This window comes from Homo sapiens, chromosome 11 (assembly GCF_000001405.40).
Source record: "Homo sapiens chromosome 11, GRCh38.p14 Primary Assembly".
In the NCBI taxonomy this organism is placed as follows: Eukaryota; Metazoa; Chordata; class Mammalia; order Primates; family Hominidae; genus Homo; species Homo sapiens.
Window position 1 is genome coordinate 7,584,519 of NC_000011.10, and position 18,810 is coordinate 7,603,328.

Consider the following 18,810-nt stretch of genomic DNA (forward strand, 5'->3'; position numbering starts at 1 on the left):
GACCGTTCTTCACCTAGAAAAAGCAGAACTGGTCCTGGGAATACTCAGGTTTATAATAAATGCCAGAAAGCCCTAAAACTCCTTAATAAAAAAATCTAGGGGAAGTTTTCTTTTTTATAAGAACCTGCCTACACTCATACTACTGGGTTCCCTTGGTGTTGGGTAACCAGAGTCCTGTAACAGGAATTGACTGTAGCTTTTGTGATCCAATCATTTTTGTTTATTTATTTATTTTGGTCCCCTTACTTTTAAGGTTTATGTCTTCTAAGTTTCTAAAAGGGGTTGCATGTGAGTGGTGCTTCTGAGCTTAAGATATAGCCTTAGTAACTTTGATATCTCCCCTGATGCCCTGTGCCTGGCAGCTATGGTTCACTTGTAACTAGTTTTCTGGATTTTGATAAGATCCTCTTGACTAGGCAGCCTGGAAACACTACACATTTTCTTTTGTTTTCTTATTCAGCTAAAAATACATGTCATCTAAATGGCTAAATAAGGAAGAACCATTTTAAGGCTTATCCAGGACAAGGCTTACCCAACGTGCTGTGTTCAAAATCTCAGCGTATTTACAGGCAAAGAGCCATCATATAATTTAACATGCTCTGACCAGTTGGGACAGTGTATGTACTGTGGCCAAGATCCTGAAGGCACTGGAATTTATAGCTTATTAGAAGCACTGAAGGAAATGTAACTCTTTACCTGGCCAAGATGACAACTATTGATATCAAAAAAAGGAAGGCAGATGCATTTTGAGGATCCCAAGGCAAGAGCTCTGAGAAGCAACTGTTGGCTTCAAAAACCAACATGATGCTAGAGCTGTCACACTGGGGAGCCGACTGTTTTAGGTTTTCCCACACTCCTTACTTGTATACCAATGACACCCCTGTTGTGATCTAGCCCTTGCCCCATTTGACTACTCTGGAACCAACTCCTTCCCCTAGTTCAATGAAGTACAGTGCCAGCAGGAAGTCTCCTGGGTCATGCCAGTTGGGGAGTGCTACAGAACTGCCCTCATCCAGCATCCCTGAGGTGTACCAGAGCACATGTGAAGAGTGTGTTCTCCTTGCAAATGGCCAGCCAGGCCATAAAGCAGTCATGCTGCCCACCACAAATCTGCAGGACCCCAGCCATGGCATCAAGCACTCACCCTGTCTAGAGCTCCAAGGAGAGACTAACATGGCTATCCCTTGGCCAAGCTACAGTGGAAGGGCTAGGCCAGGAGAGAGCATTGTCATAGATCTGAACAGCCACTGCAGTCAGAGGGTGATGTCTTTGAGGAGGCCGCTGGGGGTTAACTTGGCTGAAAAGTTCATGTTTAACCCAAATTTGAACTAACCTCTAGATTGGAACAGAAATAAAAACCCAAGTGTTTATGATTGGTTATTACTAGCTATAAAAATTCCCAGTGTACTCATTATAAACATGTATGTAGCACATAATACTTAGAGTACACAATAAAACACTTGTACGAAAGAAAAATATGTGGCCATGAATGTATGACTCAAAAATGTGAGCACTTGTTCAGGGATAGTGGAGAAGTGAACTCATCTTTGGCAATGTGGCCCAAAGACATGATCCCAGGGCTATTAGCTAATGGTGGGTTCTGCGTTGTCACTGTCACAGAGGCTTTCTTTTTGTTTTGTTTTTTCATTTCAAGCCTGAAAGTATTTTGGTTATTGTTCCCTTGGGTTGTTTGTACAGATCTTCATAGATATTTCTTAGGCATCCTGATCAGAAATATTGCCCCTGTTGTTCTCTTACACAAAAAGAGTGAATTAATTAAAACTTTTTGTAGAAGGCATTAAATGATGCCTTCTAACTCATGCTTCTAACTGAATGTTGGTCTTTTAGATTAAACAAAGCTAAATCATTTATAAGTTAGCTAAATTCATTTGTTAAATTATAATTTAAAAATCATTTCCATATTCCTATGATTATTCAAAAACTGTTTATATCACACAGGAATTTTTAGAGCACCCTACTATAAAGAGCACTCTGTAGTTTTAGTGCCACACGTTTTCAGGTATGCTGACCTAACTTGACCCTTTCTGTTGCTCCGTGAAGCATGATTTTTTCTATTGAAAGGATGGAAAGCCTGAGATGAGGTAACCTACTTGAGATTACACATGGTTAGGTGCAGCCCCAGCCTCCTAATTATTCTTGGTTTGTCCTCTTTCTGCAGAGAAGGTGGTCCCTTGGGGAGGAGGATGCAATAGGAATTCTGTAAATGAATATGGAAGCACCACAAGAAAGTCCCCAGGGATCCCCTGACTTGAAGTTCAGCTGGGCCAAATGAGGGGAACAGGGAACCCAGAGCTCTCAGCCTCCCAGCGCCCAGACCTGGCATTTGTACAGCTGTGTCTGACATGTAATTCTTTCGACATAACTTCTTAAACAGTTGTTAGATCTATTTCTGTTATTTACCCTTCATTTATTCATTTTCTGATTCATTTTCTGATAATATCTTTTAGACTTTAGCTCCTGTTTATTTCTTGTTTTGTTTGAACTTACTTTTTCATATCACACATCCTGCTCCCCACCTCCACCAACCCCGGTTGATGCCCATGGGCCTGTTGCATCTTGTATTCATTCCCTGTCTTAACCTTTTTGCTCTACATGGGAAATAAGAATGGAAGCAAACAGGTGGTGGATAGAAAGCCATCTATTCCACACACAAAGGACACTGAGTGCCCTTTTTATCCTAGTACATCCCACACAGACACTCCCTGTGCCACAAAGTAGATCTCAATTAGCCCCTGATGATAATCCTGGTTTGAACTATAGTTGGCTTAGGACTGACAGCCCTGTCTTAAAAATTGCCACTTTAAGCAAATCAAGCAATAGTGGCAGAATTCCTTTGCAATTCAGAACTATATCCAAATAGCAGGAATTCTTTCCTACAAGTCTGTTTCCAAAGGAGTAAATTTTAGTCAGTTGATCACCTTTTGAGACAAATGTATTAACCAGAACTTTTGGTTGCAAATAACAGAAACTCAGTTTGAACTAGGCCAAGAGGGAACCAACAGGAAGGGCTGGAATATATCTCTGCCTTTAGGCAGCGTGCACCGGGGATGAGAATGCCTCCAGTCTTTTTCTTGGCTTTTGTTTGCTTTTCTGTGCACACTGGGTTCATAGCTGTCTCTTGCTGCAAACCAGCTTTTTCCACGTGGAGCAGGACATGGCCACTGACAACCTCAGAACTGTGGCACCACCACTACCATGCTCTGTTCCCAAGTTTAAAAATTCAGAGGAAGGATTTCAACAAGTCAAGCCTGGATCAAGTGGCAGGGAGATGAGGATCTTTCTAAGAAGATGGCAGCCCTCATTTATACCACATAATTACAGTAAAGGCGATGATCTCAGCCTAGTCTACACAAACAATAGATTCCATTAAAGCAGGGTGCTGATTCTCTGCCAAGACTGATACAAGTCTTCTCTGTTTCTTTTCCTTAGCAAGAAAACAAGGGGAACAATTTGGCTGATCTAGGGTTCGCCACAATTCATGGTGAAGTTTCTTTTTTGGACCTGACATATCCCCTGAAAAATCTCATCCCTAAAATGCAATGTTCTCCAAGGTGCAGAAATCTTGATTTCTTTGAGTATGCCAGCAACCAGCTCTCTGTGCATGAGGAACTTATCAAGAGTAAATTTCTTACTCAGTGACCAAGGGGAGGGATGGGAGAGGTAGGGACAGGACCTGGTTTAGGTTAGGCTAGTATCATTGTACGGTCCAAACTGCCCCTTATGTGGGGACTTAACTATCCCTGCTGGAATCTTGCTGGTCAGTCAGTCCTCTCCCTCCTGGCTACTCACAGTTCTCTCTCTGTCCTCTCCCTGCTGAGGCTGATTGACTATCATGATCAACTCCAGGATCCCAACCATAGAATACCCTGCACAGCTGATACATTTTCCTGAGGCCCCTCTCAGTTAGGGATGGCTTAGAAAATACCCACACCTTAGGCTGTTAATTGCTCAAGCTGCACATTAGGCTTGCCCAGCCACGGCAGTGGTAGCAGTTTGGGTCTTACAGAAACAGACCCTAGGATAACCTGTAAGAATCAAGGAGGTGTGTTGTCACTGTTTCTGAAGACACTCTGGAATATTACTCCCAAGGCCTAGGGAAGACCTTGATATGACAACTCTGTGCTGTGTTTTATATTTGCCTCCGCGAGGTCTGAATTTTAGAGGATGAATTCCTTGTGTCCAAGACTTTTTTCAGCCTCTTGAGAGCAACACTTGATAGACACAAAGGTGGCTTGGCTTCAATGATCTTGACTAAGGGTGCTGAGTTCTTAAAAATATCCATTCGAGAAGCCCTTGTCTTGATTCAGTTCCGTGATATAGGAGAGGTAGTATGTTTCACTGTGGCATTCTTTAGTCAAAATTGAAGAGGATGTGGAAATGTCTGGAGTTAACAGTTCTCCACAGGGCACACAGATCACATGGTTCTCACTATATTTTTAGGTAACTAACCTGAATTACAGTATCAGAAATAGCTCTGACCATTTGAATGAATGGTCTGAAAATTTGAATGAGAAGATTGACTTTTCCCTGTCACATTTGTAGCAATAACCATCAGAACAGAGGGGGAGGAAGTTTGATCAAATATATGTAACACAGCTTACCATTGGCAGGTCTAGCCTAGTGGCTAATGTCATTGGTTGAGTAAAAATTAGCTCTTTCTTATATTCATCTGTGGATTGAGCATCCTTAACAAGTATAACGGGGGTGGATGATACTCTCCTTTATAGTCACTTGCCATCCCACAGTGGGGAACAATAGAAAATTAGCATGTAGGCCAGGCACGGTGGCTCATGCCTGTAATCTCAGCACTTTGGGAGGCCAAGGTGGGCAGATCACAAGGTCAAGAGATTGAGACTATCCTGGCCAACGTGGTGAAACCCCATCTCTACCAAAAATACAAAAAATTAGCTGGGCATGGTGGTGCATGCCTGTAGACCCAGCTACTCAAGAGGCTGAGGCAGGAGGATCGCTTGAACCCAGGAGGCAGAGGTTGCAGTGAGCCTAGATCGCACCACTGCACTCCAGCCTGGTGACAGAACAAGACTCTGTCTCAAAAAGAACAACCCCCTCCCAAAAAAAAAAAAACCTCAGAAAATTAGCACGTAGCATCCTTCAGAATTTGATTGGACTTTCTTCTCTGTGAAATGTGGGCATGGTTTTTGCAACCTGACTTCATGCGTGGAGAGCTGGGCAACTGCTCTATCGCTGACTTACCTAATCAGGAACATGGACAAGACTTTTCAGAGACACCTCAAACCTGGAATCATGCAGGGATCCACTATCCATCCAAGCCTTCTATTTGCAATTCCACTATTAAAGAAGCAGGTATACTTGTTGACCAAGCAAGCTGTCTTTAAAGTAGAGCAAAACAGAGATGTGTCCTAACTCAGTCTTTTAAAATATTTTTCTCAATAAATTGGAATCCCATTTTGATAACCACAAAGCTTATTATGCCTTGATGATGTAGTCATTTTATAATGCAAGAATGATACCAGAACGTGATTGAACCTGTTGCCAGGTTATAAGAATACAGAATATACAGATTCACCCAAAGGCAAATCCTTACCTTAGGCTGATGAGTATTAGCATTCAGCAAGACAATCCTCTTCTTGGCCCTGTTCTCAGATGCTTTCCAAGTTTTTCTCCAGGCAGAGGTGGCATTTGATCCTGGCCTATGCCCTTCTGAAGAACGCAGTTTTTTTTAACATCCTAGTCCTATATAGATCATGAAAACACATGGCTCTGACTTCATCAAAAGCAAAGGATAGTGATACTGTGGGTTTCCATCTGGAACATTATCTTTCACTGCTGTTTACCTTTAAAAAGCTTGCTGGAGAACGGTGATTTTGAAGGACCTGTAGAAGAGGAAGATGCACTGTTCCTCTAGAACAGTGATTGGGGTGGGGGAGGGACCTGTCTGCCATGCACACCACTGCTGTATGGACCAGTATGCCTGCTAGGAAAGGAGTTGGCTCCTCGAATCTGTTATAGGAGGGGCAAATATGAGGAACCACTGTTCTAGGTCCTCTAACAGTGCTTCTAGATTTTCAAATATATTTTAATTACTCAATAGAAACATTTTGTAAGAAACTCAAACATTATGTCAAAGTGCTCTGAACAGTGCCTGGCACATGTTGAGCACAAGGTGCTTGCTGTGTATTTACAGCACTGTGCCTGGACCATATTATATTAGTCTCCATGGAATTGCTTTCACCTTTGGCCCATATTGTCCACTAGCCTCTGAACTATTCTGAGAACATCACACAAAAGTAATGAGTTCTACTGGGCTCTGTTTACTATAAGGGTGTCATGGATATTGCTGATCCCATCACACAAAATCTGTCTATGAAAACGTGAAGTTTCTCCCTTGCTCCGGAATAATTATGCTTCTCCTAGGCAATTGATTTGATTTTACCATACTGATCTGCGGATCCTGTTAACTGATTGTGCCTCTCTTTTTTTACTGGCTGCTAGCGTGGATCTAGATTTTTGATCCCCCTTCTAGCATGTGCTATAGAATCTAGGTCATACATTTTATTAACTGAATTTATGATTTCAACTTTCTTACTCTTTTTTTTGTCAACTAGTAAAAATAGTTACCTCTCTGGGTGATTGTATGGGTAGACCTTTTATTATAATGAAGAATATACTGCACACCATTTGAATAAGGCATAGTTGGTACAGTGGCTTGCTGGAGTCTCTGGAAGAAGTCTTGCCTTTGGTCTTCTCTCCTTCATTTCCTGCCAGAGAATGGGCGGCTGCCAGTGCTAGGTGGCTCCGTGTCCATGTGGACTTCGGCACTGGGGTTCTACCTGCAGAGCTTCACTTGGACACCTGGGTCCTGTTTAATTCTCTGTCCACTGGAAATCACCATCATGTGAGTTCTTTGACAGAGAAGAAGTTGACCTGCTATTAAGAATTATTCTCCTACCTTTTCTTCTCTGGTTCTGAGAAAATATAGATTATAATATATTCTTGGATTCTAGTCAGAGAATTTGATCATGTGAGAACCGGAATATTAATTTAACAACAATAAACTGCCATTAACAAAGAAGTCAGTTGTGATTGTTAAGGTTCTTTGTCTGTGGCATGAAAGAGCTTCCATAACAATGAACAAGACATAGGCTCCAGAGGGGCTGGAGCAGAAGACAGTGGTGTGGCAGCAGGTGCTGCCTGGCACAGCTGGCCTGGGGAGTGGCCCCTGGGCCTGTCCTCTGGCTGCACCTTCAACAAACAATCAATGAATCTTTCACTAGTGCGCATCCAGGGTTTGAATGCGGTATGCTTGGTCCACATTTCTGTTCTAGGACTGGGCATGGCTCTGTTGCCTCCCTCACCTATGCAGTGCATTGGGAAGGGGTGGGATGAGGGGAGGAAGGAGGTGCCTTTTCTCATGGAGGGTGGTGGGAGAGCCCATGCTAAAAGTTGAAATGTGGGGAAATGGCCTAGGACAAGGTGGCCCAACTCTGGGTCTCTCACATCTGCCTCTTTGCACAATTAAGACTTTCCTCTAGGGTGGTAGACACCTCCCTCGTGAATATTGAAGTGCTGATTTCACTGGACCAGCTCAGATTGTATAATACTCAGTTCCACATTTAGCAATCAGATCTACTTTTTCAAACTGCCAAGCCTCTGGGTGGCCTATTGCAGACCAGTCTGATTTCAGTCTTCCATTTGCATGGAGGAAGGAGGTGTTGGGGCCAGCTTGGTGACATTAGCTCCTTCTCTCCTGTCTGCCCACAACCAGGTCAGACACACCCAAGAAAGTGACACCTCCTTTCTCTGCTTGGGACATTTGTAAGATTCTGCCTCTCCTCTGACATTTCACATCCTCTCCCTTTCCTCTCTTTTCTATAGTTTCTGGCTACCTGTAATTTCCTTAGCTTTTGCTCTGGCATCCCTCTGGCTATTATTTAAGTTCTTCTCAAGATGTTTTGTCTTAGCTTGCTTCTCTCAGCTCTAGCACTGGGGAAATGTGATCTGCCAGCCTGGCTACCAAAGCTCTTATTGGAGGGTGGGATTGGGGTGGGAAGGGACGTGTGAATGAAGGGCCTTGTAGTTGACATCCTCCATCCTTCATGCTCACTGTGATGTTCAGGATGGGCCTCCATGCAGCAAGGTGTGCCTTGGCTTCAGGGGACCCTGGCATGAGAATTAGGAGATACCAAGATCTGTGCAGAAGCTGTTCCCATGTAGTCCCTTGGAGAACGGTGCCAGCTCTCCAATCTCCTCAAAGAGCAGACCCTCATTGTCGCCATGCCTCTGGAGGCTGTGCCTCTGGCTAACCCAGACCCAGCATGTCAAGTCAAGCACTGCTGGGCCTAGAGTTTCACAGAGGCCCTCCTGGCCAGGAGTGAGGTCATCCAGGAGGTGGTTGTGCCAACTTCCAGGGCGCACTTTTCAGTGGCATGTGATCTGGTTCTCCTCATGGTAGTTTTGAAATCTTGTGGTTTCCTGTTTTGATGATTGGTTTTGTACATATAATCAGTGAAACTATCCTCACAAATTACATGCATCCCTTATTTCATTTAGAAGTTGGTAAGATGTTTTTCCAACCTTTTAAGTGTATTCTTTTTTTTCTGTCCTCTTTAGTCCCAGGTAAACCACCACAGTGCTGCTAGTAATGAAACCTACCAGGAACGCTTGGCACGTCTAGAAGGGGATAAGGAGTCCCTCATATTGCAGGTGGGTACTTTTTGGTGAGAATCGGCTTATCCTGTTACCTCCTACTATGTAGCTTCCCCTAAGTGGAAGGGAAGCCCAAGAGATTTTCTCTGTTGGAATTTTTCTCCTTCCAATGCCTATGTTTTTAGAAAAGACTTTTCCTGAAATAAAACATTAAGTAACTGAGGGGACAATTTAACTCTAGACTTGGCTTAGGGGGGCTGTGAATTCAGTCATTCATTTATCATGCACTCCCAAGCACCCGCTTCTATACACTGGCAGCCCCATGACCAGGCTGATTTCCAGGTGCTAAGAATGAACAAAATGGGCCCTGTCCCCCAGAAGCTCCTGAGTCTTGCGAGGGAGGGGAGATATATCCTCATGCCACTAATAAAACAGAGCTGTGGGTGATACAGGCCTAAGGGTGAATGCTAATGAATCAAGTCCAAATTGTCTGAAGCTGGATCTAGACTGATCCCTTTAATGCCAAATCCCCTGGAGCTGGTAACAGGGGCTAAGCCTTTGATAGCTGTCTTGCTTGAAAGAGAGGAGCTCCAAAACCTTTTACGGAGAAAGATCATCAAGGGAGCTTTTTCGCTGTTGAAAGTTTGTGTGCCTTGGTAGGACATAGAGTTAGGTATTCTCATAAGAAGGCTGTTGAAGAAGCAGGCCCAGCACTTTGCTGTGTTAGCTCTTGAAAATATAAATTGATTAAGCAAGCATTTACTCAAGGTCTGGTATGCATCAGATATTAATTAGTGATTTGGAAAATATAAAGGCTAGTATCCTAATCCCAGCTCCTTAAAAGCTTAAAGGGTGATGAGTTAGACTGGTGGTAGAATGAAGGGAGGGGTTGAGCGGGGCCTGGAACCCACCCCAGGCTATGGGCTTTAGCTTGGAGCACTAAGGTTATGAGGTGGCAGTGTGTTTGTTTTTTCTCTTTTTACCTTACTTATTTTACTCTTTCATTGTATTTTATGAACATAAGGGTAATGAATGATTTTAAAAACCTTTAAAATTCTAAAAATGTGAAGAAGCAGGTTAACACTTCGGCCTTTTTTCCAGTGTTGTTGGTTTTTTTTCTTTTGCCTCTATTGTAAATAACTGAGCTCATACCAAATATATAGTTTTACATTCCAGTTTTGTATTTTTCTTCACTTCATTGATTTCTTCATTATAAAATAATTGGGTATCTACAACTTGTGAGATGCTGGTTTTAGATGCTGGGATAAAGCAGTGAAAGAAGCAGACTAAATTCCCATTCTTGTGGATCTTCCATTTGAAAGAGAGAGAGTGGGCCAGGTGCAGTGGCTCATGCCTGTAATCCCAGCACTTTGGGAGGCTGAGGCAGGTGAATCACCTGAGGTTAGGAGTTGGAGACCAGCTTGACCAGCATGGTGAAACCCTGTCTCTACTGAAAATACAAAAATAAGCCAGGCATGGTGATGGGTGCCTGTAATCCCAGCACTTTGGGAGGCTGAGGCAGGTGAATCACCTGAGGTTAGGAGTTGGAGACCAGCTTGACCAGCATGGTGAAACCCTGTCTCTACTGAAAATACAAAAATAAGCCAGGCATGGTGATGGGTGCCTGTAATCCCAGCTACTCGGAAGGCTGACGTAGGAGAATTGATTGAACCCAGGAGGTGGAGGTTGCAGTGAGCCAACATCGCATCACTGTGCTCCAGCCTGGGCAACAGAGCGAGACTCCATCTCAAAAAAAAAAAAAAAAAAAAAGAAAAAGGAGAGTGTGAATTGACAATAAGCCAATACATTAACTATTTCAGGTGCTGGTAAGAACGCTGGAAAAAAGTAAAGCAGGATGAGGATTGTGTAGTAAAAGGAAGATCTCCTTTACAGGAGGAAGCCAAGGAGGGAGCCATGCAGATACCTGGAGAAGTGCATTCCAGGCAGAGCAGGCAGTCAGTCCAGCCCACACACTGAGGCAAGAGTGTGCTTGGGGTGTGGGAAGAACAGCAAGTGGCCATTGTGCCTGCAGTCTGTGCTCAAAAGGGTGGTGCGAGCTGCCTTTAGAAAGGTAGCAAGGGCCAGATTGAATAGCACATTGTAGCACAGATGTTTGAGGGATGTGTAATTTGAAACTCTTATCCCAATGACATGATTAATGAAAGAGTATCCAATGTAAGATTTTGCAGCAAACAGTATGAAATTGCAAACTTTTGAACCAGGACCCTTCATGATTGAAATAGCACATTCCTATTTACAGAGGATTACAATTTAATTTTTCAAAGTCCTGTGTAATAATGCTCCCTTTCACATTCATAGTTTTCTAAAATTCCAAATTCTTGAATAATCCCCATTTAAATAATCCTAACACAATTGGGAAGCTGCTTGCCAGTAAAGTCAGAAGTTGACCCTAGTAGTTTCTACTCTACTGGGAGCTTATGGGCAGACTCCAGGAGTGTCTGTTAAGTGATCACTGCTGTTCTGCAGTGGAGCTGGTTAGGCAGATTCTCAGCAGGGTAGAGCCTCTTGCTTAATGCACACAGCAGCTTAGCCAGACTGAATTAATTTAGAGTCCTTGGCCCAGAAAGTTTTCCTGGTTCTACTCATAGAACAAGGCAAATCACACATAACAAAATACTTTGTTTCTAGGATTAGTTAAAAACAAAACCAGAATCTCTTGTATCTTCATTATAATGTAACTCCTTAGGAAAAGGATTTTTATCCTTTTTTTTTTTTTTTAACTTCTGTATCCTCCAGTACCTAAAATTATGCCTAGCATCTATTAGGGTCTCAAAAATAGTTGTTTTTAGTGAACAAAGGTCACATTTTATGACCTTTATGTATTTTGTCTGGATTTCCTACATCCCTTCATTTGTAATACTTAGAATCAGCGTTGAGGTTCAGAAAGCCCCTGGAGCTGAACAATTAGCTATAGAATGCTAGAGATCCTATGATTCCTTGAGTATCACCAACACATGGCCTCAAGGCATGGTATAGACCATAGAAATGTTTAACCCTCATAATAAGATTAACCAGAAAACATCCTTCACAAACAGAAACTCTGGATTCCAGTGAGCAAAGCCCACCCCCAGAGTCCTGCCCTTTTGAAAGTAGAGTTAGTTCAGGATGGCTGAGAGTGTTGGGCCACAGGGATTAATAAACACCCACCCACAAAGGTTTGCGTGTAAGGTGGACCAAGTTGATAGAAAGAGCCCGTTCTTGTTTTTTTTTTTTTTTTTAACATTTTTTTTGGTTAAAAGTGGAATGTTAACCATGTGTCAACTCCAGGAATATGTTTCAATAATTCATTAATCATTTGGGAAAATAAAAATGGAGATCTTAAAGTAGGCATATTAATTTAGATTAGTTCCTTTTTAAACAGGCGCTTTATAATTCAGAAAGTTTATCTAAACACTCATAAATGAATTCACATCAACTCATGCACCATCTATTATTCCATTTCAGACTGAGAAATAATTCTGGATAATCTATATGTAAATGGCAACAACTCTAACCAAAAAGGTCTAAAGGATCTCAGTTTATCAACTGCTAATTTCTTCACTTTGGGGAGGACACTCATTCTCTCTCTTCTTGCTTTGAACCATCTCTTAATAAAGAAAAAGGATCCTGGGGCCGTTTGCTAATAGAGAAGGCTATGAAAACCATTGTTAATATATAGTTAGTGCATAATTTGAATGACTTCCTGTAAATGAGTTTTTACTAATTAATATTTTTAATAGGGATTCTCAGCGTTCTTCAGAAAGATGACTTTTTTTCTGCCACCGTATGTGTAATGTGGCTTCTCTATATTTATGACTTAGAGTCATGTTTTGGCCTGTGAAGCACAATAACCTTTCTGGAGCCAAGTTTTGTCAGTGCTAATACATGCCCTTTACAGCCCACATTCCTTAATTGCATCAAAACACTCACCTGATAGGTGAGCAGTCCTCACACCCTTATGAGAGAGGTAAGGTCATTGGTTAGTTTCCATGAAGTTTGGACCGCTCTTCCACACGAGGTTGCAGAAGTGCTGGCAAGCCAGCTGAGATGTGCCTTGAGGTCGGGGCTGTTCTGGAAGAGGAATAAGGAGCAGGAGTCCAGCCCAGAGGCAGCTCCTGTGGCTGTTGGGTGTTTTACTCTTGAGTCTATCAAGAGCAGTAAACGTGACCCATGTCATCAGAGCAGTGGCCGAGACTCCCTGGTAAGGTAAGAATCTAACTGCAGCTGCCTTCGTTCAGGACACTTCCTCCACCTGCCACTCAGCAAAAATCAAAATCGTTCACTGTGTGTAAGAGTCAGTGGTGAGATTTAACGGCTCCCCTGAGGTGGGGAGGCTTTCCTGCACCATGTCAAATCCCTGGTCCTCCACCATTGCTTTATTTCCTGGAACAGGTGAGTGTCCTCACAGACCAAGTAGAAGCCCAGGGAGAAAAGATTCGAGACCTGGAAGTGTGTCTGGAAGGACACCAGGTGAAACTCAATGCTGCTGAAGAGATGCTTCAACAGGTAAGGGCGGGTGCACTGAAGGCCCTTGGGTGCCGAAGCAGCTCATGTGCTGAAGCCCCTTTGTGTGCCCAGGCTACAGCCCTCGCTGTCTGCTTTCCCATCCTGCCTGGGGGCGGGATTGGCTGCTCAGTTGTACGGTGTTTATACAGCAGGTGAAACCAACCTGAACGTTGAGAGTGGCAGAGGGGGTAGGGAAGGGAAGGGCTGCCCTGAGATGAATAACCTGCTGAGCTGGTTAGACAGATTCCCAGACAGCACTTTCTCCAGACCTGGTGCAGTGAGGGAGCGCTCGGCTGGGGGCCTCACCCTCATCCTGTGGGTGCCATCTGGAGTTTTAGAAAGTCAATTCTCAGCTGATTCTATGCCCCTTTCCCATCTCGCTCTGCCTCTTCCTACTGTATATAGTTTTTAAAATAAAAATATTATATAAATAACCTTTTAGTATAATTTAATAGATATCAAAATGGAAAAAGATATTTAACTGTTCCCTACCATTCAAATAATGTCTTCTCCTTGTTTTCTTTTTGTCCTTGTTATGTGTACATGTACTTTCCAAATCTGTAATCACAAGAGATATGCAATTTAGTCCTCAGATTTTGTATGCTTAATATTATATTTTTCCCATTTAAAATTTTTGCTGTATTGTCATCTTTACTATCACCTATAATAGATTTTCTTAGTAAAAGTATCAGAATTGACTTAACTTTTTTTCAATTCCTAAATATTTTTACTGTATTATAAATAATGAGCTACAATTTTTTAGGAAGGGGTGTTGAATTTTTATTGTATCAAAACTTCAGAATTTGTTGAGAAGCGAATTAGGTTTTTAAATGAAATGTATTAATATATCTAATCTTAAATTTTCCTTAAGTCATTCTTACATTTTAAGTTATCTTGAAAATTAAACAATGACTGAAGTTTATGTGTGTATGCCTTATAACTCCTGGCATAGTACTTGGCACATAAAAGGTACTCACAATTACTTAAAGAACAAAAGTTTGTTCCTTAAAATGAGTGGATTCAATTAGAGGACTACTTATAATCTTTCCTCCAAAAGCGCTAGCATTTTTTTTTTAATTGTCATGATCAGCATAAGACTCAGATTGTTTCTTGACAGCATACTGGTGAACACAGGCTTTGCATTTTACCTTTGGTCTCATGACAAATGTCATGAGAATTAATCTGGTGTTTGTTAGTTTTGTTTGAGTGCCTTTGAAGAACTTTATACAAATGTAAGTCAGTGTTTTTATATATATGTCTTCATAAAAACCCGTTTCAATGATTCAGGAACTTTTGTTTGTTATCTTTTCATTGCTGATTAATAAATTACCACATTCTTGGCGCCATTTGATTTTCTACTTAGGTTGTGTGCCATTTCTCTTGTTCATAATATTTCCTAAAAATCTGACTAGCAAAAGGAATTGAGGCTTTTTTTTTTTAATTGAATCTTTCTTTTGAAGACCCAGGAAAGAAAATAGCCTGATGGAAAAAAATCTCAAATGATGAAAGTATTTTCACAAAGAGTGCAGAAAACAACCTACTAGATTGTGTTTTCAAGTCTGCACAAGGTGTGTTTTTGAGGTGAGAAGGATAAGGGAAGAAGATGATGGAATGGTGTAAACAATCCAGAAAGAGAGCAAGAACATTTGAATACGGAAGGGAACGTGTCAGAAGGTTGATGTTTCAGGAAGGCTATGCTGGGAGAGTAACCACATAATCAGAGGTCAACAGAATGCTGCATTGTAGTGCCTGAGTTATCTGACTGCCTGTGCTGGCTTCTCTGAGCCTTCTCTACATAGCTCTCTATGACAGTGTTTCTGCTCCATTGTCAAAGTCTCTGTGTCAAGGAGTCTGATTGTGATGCCCAGCACCACCTGGGGAGAGGCTGTCTAGTTCCTCTAAACATCATCCCATGGATGGCATTTTAGACTTTTTTAAAGTCATAAACTCAATTACTTTTTTTTTTTTTTTTTTTGAGACGGAGTCTTTCTCAGTTGCCCAGGCTGGAGTGCGGTGGCGCGATCTCGGCTCACTGCAACCTCCGCCTCCTGGGTTCACGCCATTCTCCTGCCTTAGCCTCCCAAGTAGCTGGGACTACAGGTGCCTGCCACCACGCCCGGCTAATTTTTTTTTTTTTTTTTTTTGTAGTTTTAGTAGAGACGGGGTTTCACCATGTTAGCCAGGATGGTCTCAATCTCCTGACCTCATGATCCACCCGCCTTGGCCTCCCAAAGTGCTGGGATTACAGGTGTGAGCCACTGCGCCCGGCCTCAATTACCTTTTTTAGCCCGTTTATTCTAAACCCTCTTTCCTGTGTGCTGTGGGTTTGGTATTGGGCGTGTGGTACCATGTGCCATAGAGGGTAGATGTCTTAACCTGGCATATTTTGGAGTATGGTAGCCACTTCTGAGTTTCAAAGATTCCTGAACTTGACCAAGTTATTTTTCTGCCCATAAGCTTTCATTGTATTCTCTCAAACTGTCAAGGGTCAAATGATAGCAGTGTGCAGTGCTCCTTTCTTAACAAATTGAGTTCAAGCCATAGGACACATCTGAGCCTCATCTTCCACTCATGTGTTCGCTGGGCTGGGTGGCACCAGAGCTTGAGATCTTTTGAGTTCCCAGATCTAAATCCAAAGTTGAATGTTCGGCCGCACATGCTATTGCTTTCCTGAAGTCTGTTTGATGCTGTTTGTGAAGACACTTGATTCTTGCACCACAGTGCTGATGCAATATCTCTGGCTTGGAGTATGTGTGTATTCTCTGAGCTAGGGACAGGCAAACACTTGCCTGATTTGACTGAGATATCCTGGGCTGCAGGGCCCTTGGCTTCTGGTGGTAGGAGCAAGAATGACTCATGGCCTAGAGGCAGAGAATGGAGGCAAACAATTGCCTCTTTCTGCCAGCCTCAGAAACCATTCCTGCCTGGAGCCAAGGCGAGCCTGCTGCTCAAAGCCTCTGAAGGAAATCCTTTCACTGTCTCAGTGTGCGCCCTTCTAACTGCCTGTAGATAAGGTGCTTCCTCGGGGTTTGCTGCTCCTGATAACCCTGCATGCTGGAGACATCCTGTCTGAAGGCAGCAGCTGCTGTTCTACTCCAGTTGACTGCCCATGTAGGCCTGGTAATGCTAGATATTCTCATTTTTCACAAGAGACTCAAAATCCAGATCTAAAGAGTTAAGGATCTCTGCTTTTAAAATATTAGCAGCTAATTTAAGTTTTTTAAAATGCTGTGTGAATCATACAGTACATACCTATAGGTCAAGCCTGGCCTGCAGGCCTCCAATCTGCAACCTCTGCTCTAGACTTGGCCCCTTCTACAGGCTGGAATAACTCCAGGGGGACTTGGGGAAAGCCAAATCAATGAGGATAGCCCAAACCTTGTGCTTAAAGGGGCTCCAAGAACCCCATTGAGCTGTCTCTCTCCATGCTGCTCTCCTGACCAATGTCAACCTTCCTCCAGGAGCACAAGAGGTGAGGAGTTAGTTCCTTACCTAGTTCATGAACAATATACTCACTGTATCCCCAACCACAACATCCTCAGTCTGTCGCTGCTCAGGGCTGACCTCCCAACTCCCATCTGTTTTTGTCTACACATGAACTCATCCAGCCTCCAGAAAGAGCAAGAAGACCTCTCTTGGGGTTAGACAGGCAAATCAGAACCAACCAGAGCCAGCAAAGGGGCAGGTCCACATGAGCCCACCTAGATTATGAACACTTTTCAGGGCAAAATAATGTTTCTGTTTTGCAGCCCACGGCAGGATGTGGGATGGGAAGGGAACATGATAGCTACAAGCATCTCTCAGGACTGCTACAAGCAGACAGCTACAAGCATCTCATAGCTGTCGACATACACATATAGACATACCTTGTAGCTGTCTACATAGACAGCTACAAGCATCTCTCAGGACTGCCTATGGAAGCACCTAGTCAGATGTGGTCTTAGACTCACTGAGCATGTCTGGATTGCCCAGGAAACTTTCCCCATTAAGAAGAGTTATTTCTCGGCCAGGCGCTGTGGCTCATGCCTGTAATCCCAGCACTTTGGGAGGCCGAGGTGGACGGATAACCTGAGGTCAGGAGTTCGAGAACAGCCTGACCAACATGGTGAAACCCCGTCTCTACTAAAAATACAAAATTAGACAGGTGTGGTGGTACATAACTGTAATCCCAGCACTTTGGGAGGCCGAGGTGGATGGATAACCCGAGGTCAGGAGTTCGAGAACAGCCTGACCAACATGGTGAAACCCCGTCTCTACTAAAAATACAAAATTAGACAGGTGTGGTGGTACATACCTGTAATCCCAGCTACTTGGGAGGCTGAGTCAGGAGAATCGCTGGAACCCGAGAGACGGAGGTTGCAGTGAGCCAAGATCACGCCATTGCACTCCAGCCTGGGCAACAAGAATGAAACTCAAAAAAAAAAAAAAAAAAAAAAAAGAAGAGTCATTTCTCAAAAGGATCTTTAAGGGAGGGACAGTCTGAGTCAGTTTTCACTGGTCTGGTATTGTCTGAGCCTGAAAATAGAACTCACAGTGCTGGGCTCTGCCTCTTTGGTCCTTAAGCAGATCAAGGCATTGCTCAGCTGCACAGTGAGGCTATCAGAGGCCAGGGCCCAGAATTGTACACTAGGGTTTCCGGCATGGACCAGCGATGTTCTTGTGACTGCCTCAAACTATGCTGGCAACAAAAATCTCTGTATCATGGGGAGGGTTTCCCTGGTCTGTGATATAATCGAGGCCTGTGGTGGCATTTTCTAAAGTAGCCACTGTGAGCTCACTGGGGTCTAGTAGGTTCCTGCACAATAAGCTCCTCTGCCTCTGATCACTGACCCTTCTCTAGAGGAGGAAGAAGCTGATGCTACTCGGTGGATAAGAGGTTTTACATGGAGCTGGTGGTCAAATGGAGCATTTTCCAGAGACTGGCCATTTACAGATATAATCAATGTAAACAGAAACAATGTTCAATGTCAAAACAACACAGGGAAAGGGAGGACTGTGGGGAGCAAGTAAGGGCATAATCCTGCTTTTGGGAAACCTTGGACAACACCAGCCTCTATTTCTATCCTCCCTACCGACCCAGAGCTTCAGGGTTTAGGCAACTTCATTTTTTTTACTTTTAGGTGAGGTTGGGGAGTGACAAATATAGGGGATTAAGAGTTCATGGATATGGGTTTCTATAGATTTGCTATTTGCTATTGATCTGGGAAAGTCAGTGTACCTGTTTCCTTATTAGTAGAGAATGAGGATGACAATATGGACTCTGTATTGCCTACCTCTTACTTCTCAGAGTTATAGTAAAGTTATTCCACTGTTATTAAGCATGAGCTATCACACAGTGAGTCAAGACACTGAGCCTAAGACACAGGCCTAGTAGATGGCTGGTAAACTTCCCAGGAGAGCCTTTAAGCAGGTATTTCTATCTCAAAGAGAATATTAAACAGAGCTGTGTACATGTTCCGGTGGGAACACAAATCTGTCTGAGGTGGGTAAGACAGTGATTCAGAAGTGAAGAAAACAGGAATTTTTCAAATATTCCCCAAAATTCCCTCTGGGGATCTATGAGCTAATGAGTTTCTTCATGCTTATCCCATGTGATGTTGGGAATCCAGACTACAGGGCAAAGTAGATACTTTAACTCCATTTTACAGATAAGAG

At 43.0% G+C, this 18,810-nt stretch overlaps 1 protein-coding gene and 1 long non-coding RNA gene across 31 annotated transcripts in view; one reads left to right on the forward strand and one right to left on the reverse strand.

Annotated features, from left to right (window-relative positions):
* Positions 1-13,163, reverse strand: part of LOC105376535 (uncharacterized) — a 28,817-nt gene extending 15,654 nt beyond the window's left edge. The window contains exons 1-2 of one of the 3 annotated variants that reach the window (XR_007062579.1): positions 12,580-12,662; positions 5,588-5,876 (exon numbers count right to left, since the gene is read on the reverse strand). This is a non-coding gene — a long non-coding RNA (uncharacterized LOC105376535). Of the gene's footprint in view, positions 1-5,587; positions 8,476-12,579 lie in introns of those variants that run through there. The other 2 variants (XR_007062577.1, XR_007062578.1) reach the window with 2 other exon arrangements.
* PPFIBP2 (PPFIB scaffold protein 2) overlaps positions 1-18,810 on the forward strand; it is a 153,306-nt gene that overhangs the window by 70,520 nt on the left and 63,976 nt on the right. For 25 of the 28 annotated variants that reach the window (NR_147792.2, XM_011520415.4, XM_047427751.1 and 22 more), the window contains 2 exons: positions 8,614-8,706; positions 13,042-13,155. Coding sequence is in view for 27 of the 28 variants with exons in the window: in XM_011520415.4 (XP_011518717.1) it covers positions 8,614-8,706; positions 13,042-13,155 (207 nt within the window). In the remaining variant the exon portion in view is untranslated. Of the gene's footprint in view, positions 1-8,613; positions 8,707-12,670; positions 12,856-13,041; positions 13,156-18,810 lie in introns of those variants that run through there. The other 3 variants (XM_011520418.3, XM_047427753.1, NM_001256568.2) reach the window with 1 other exon arrangement.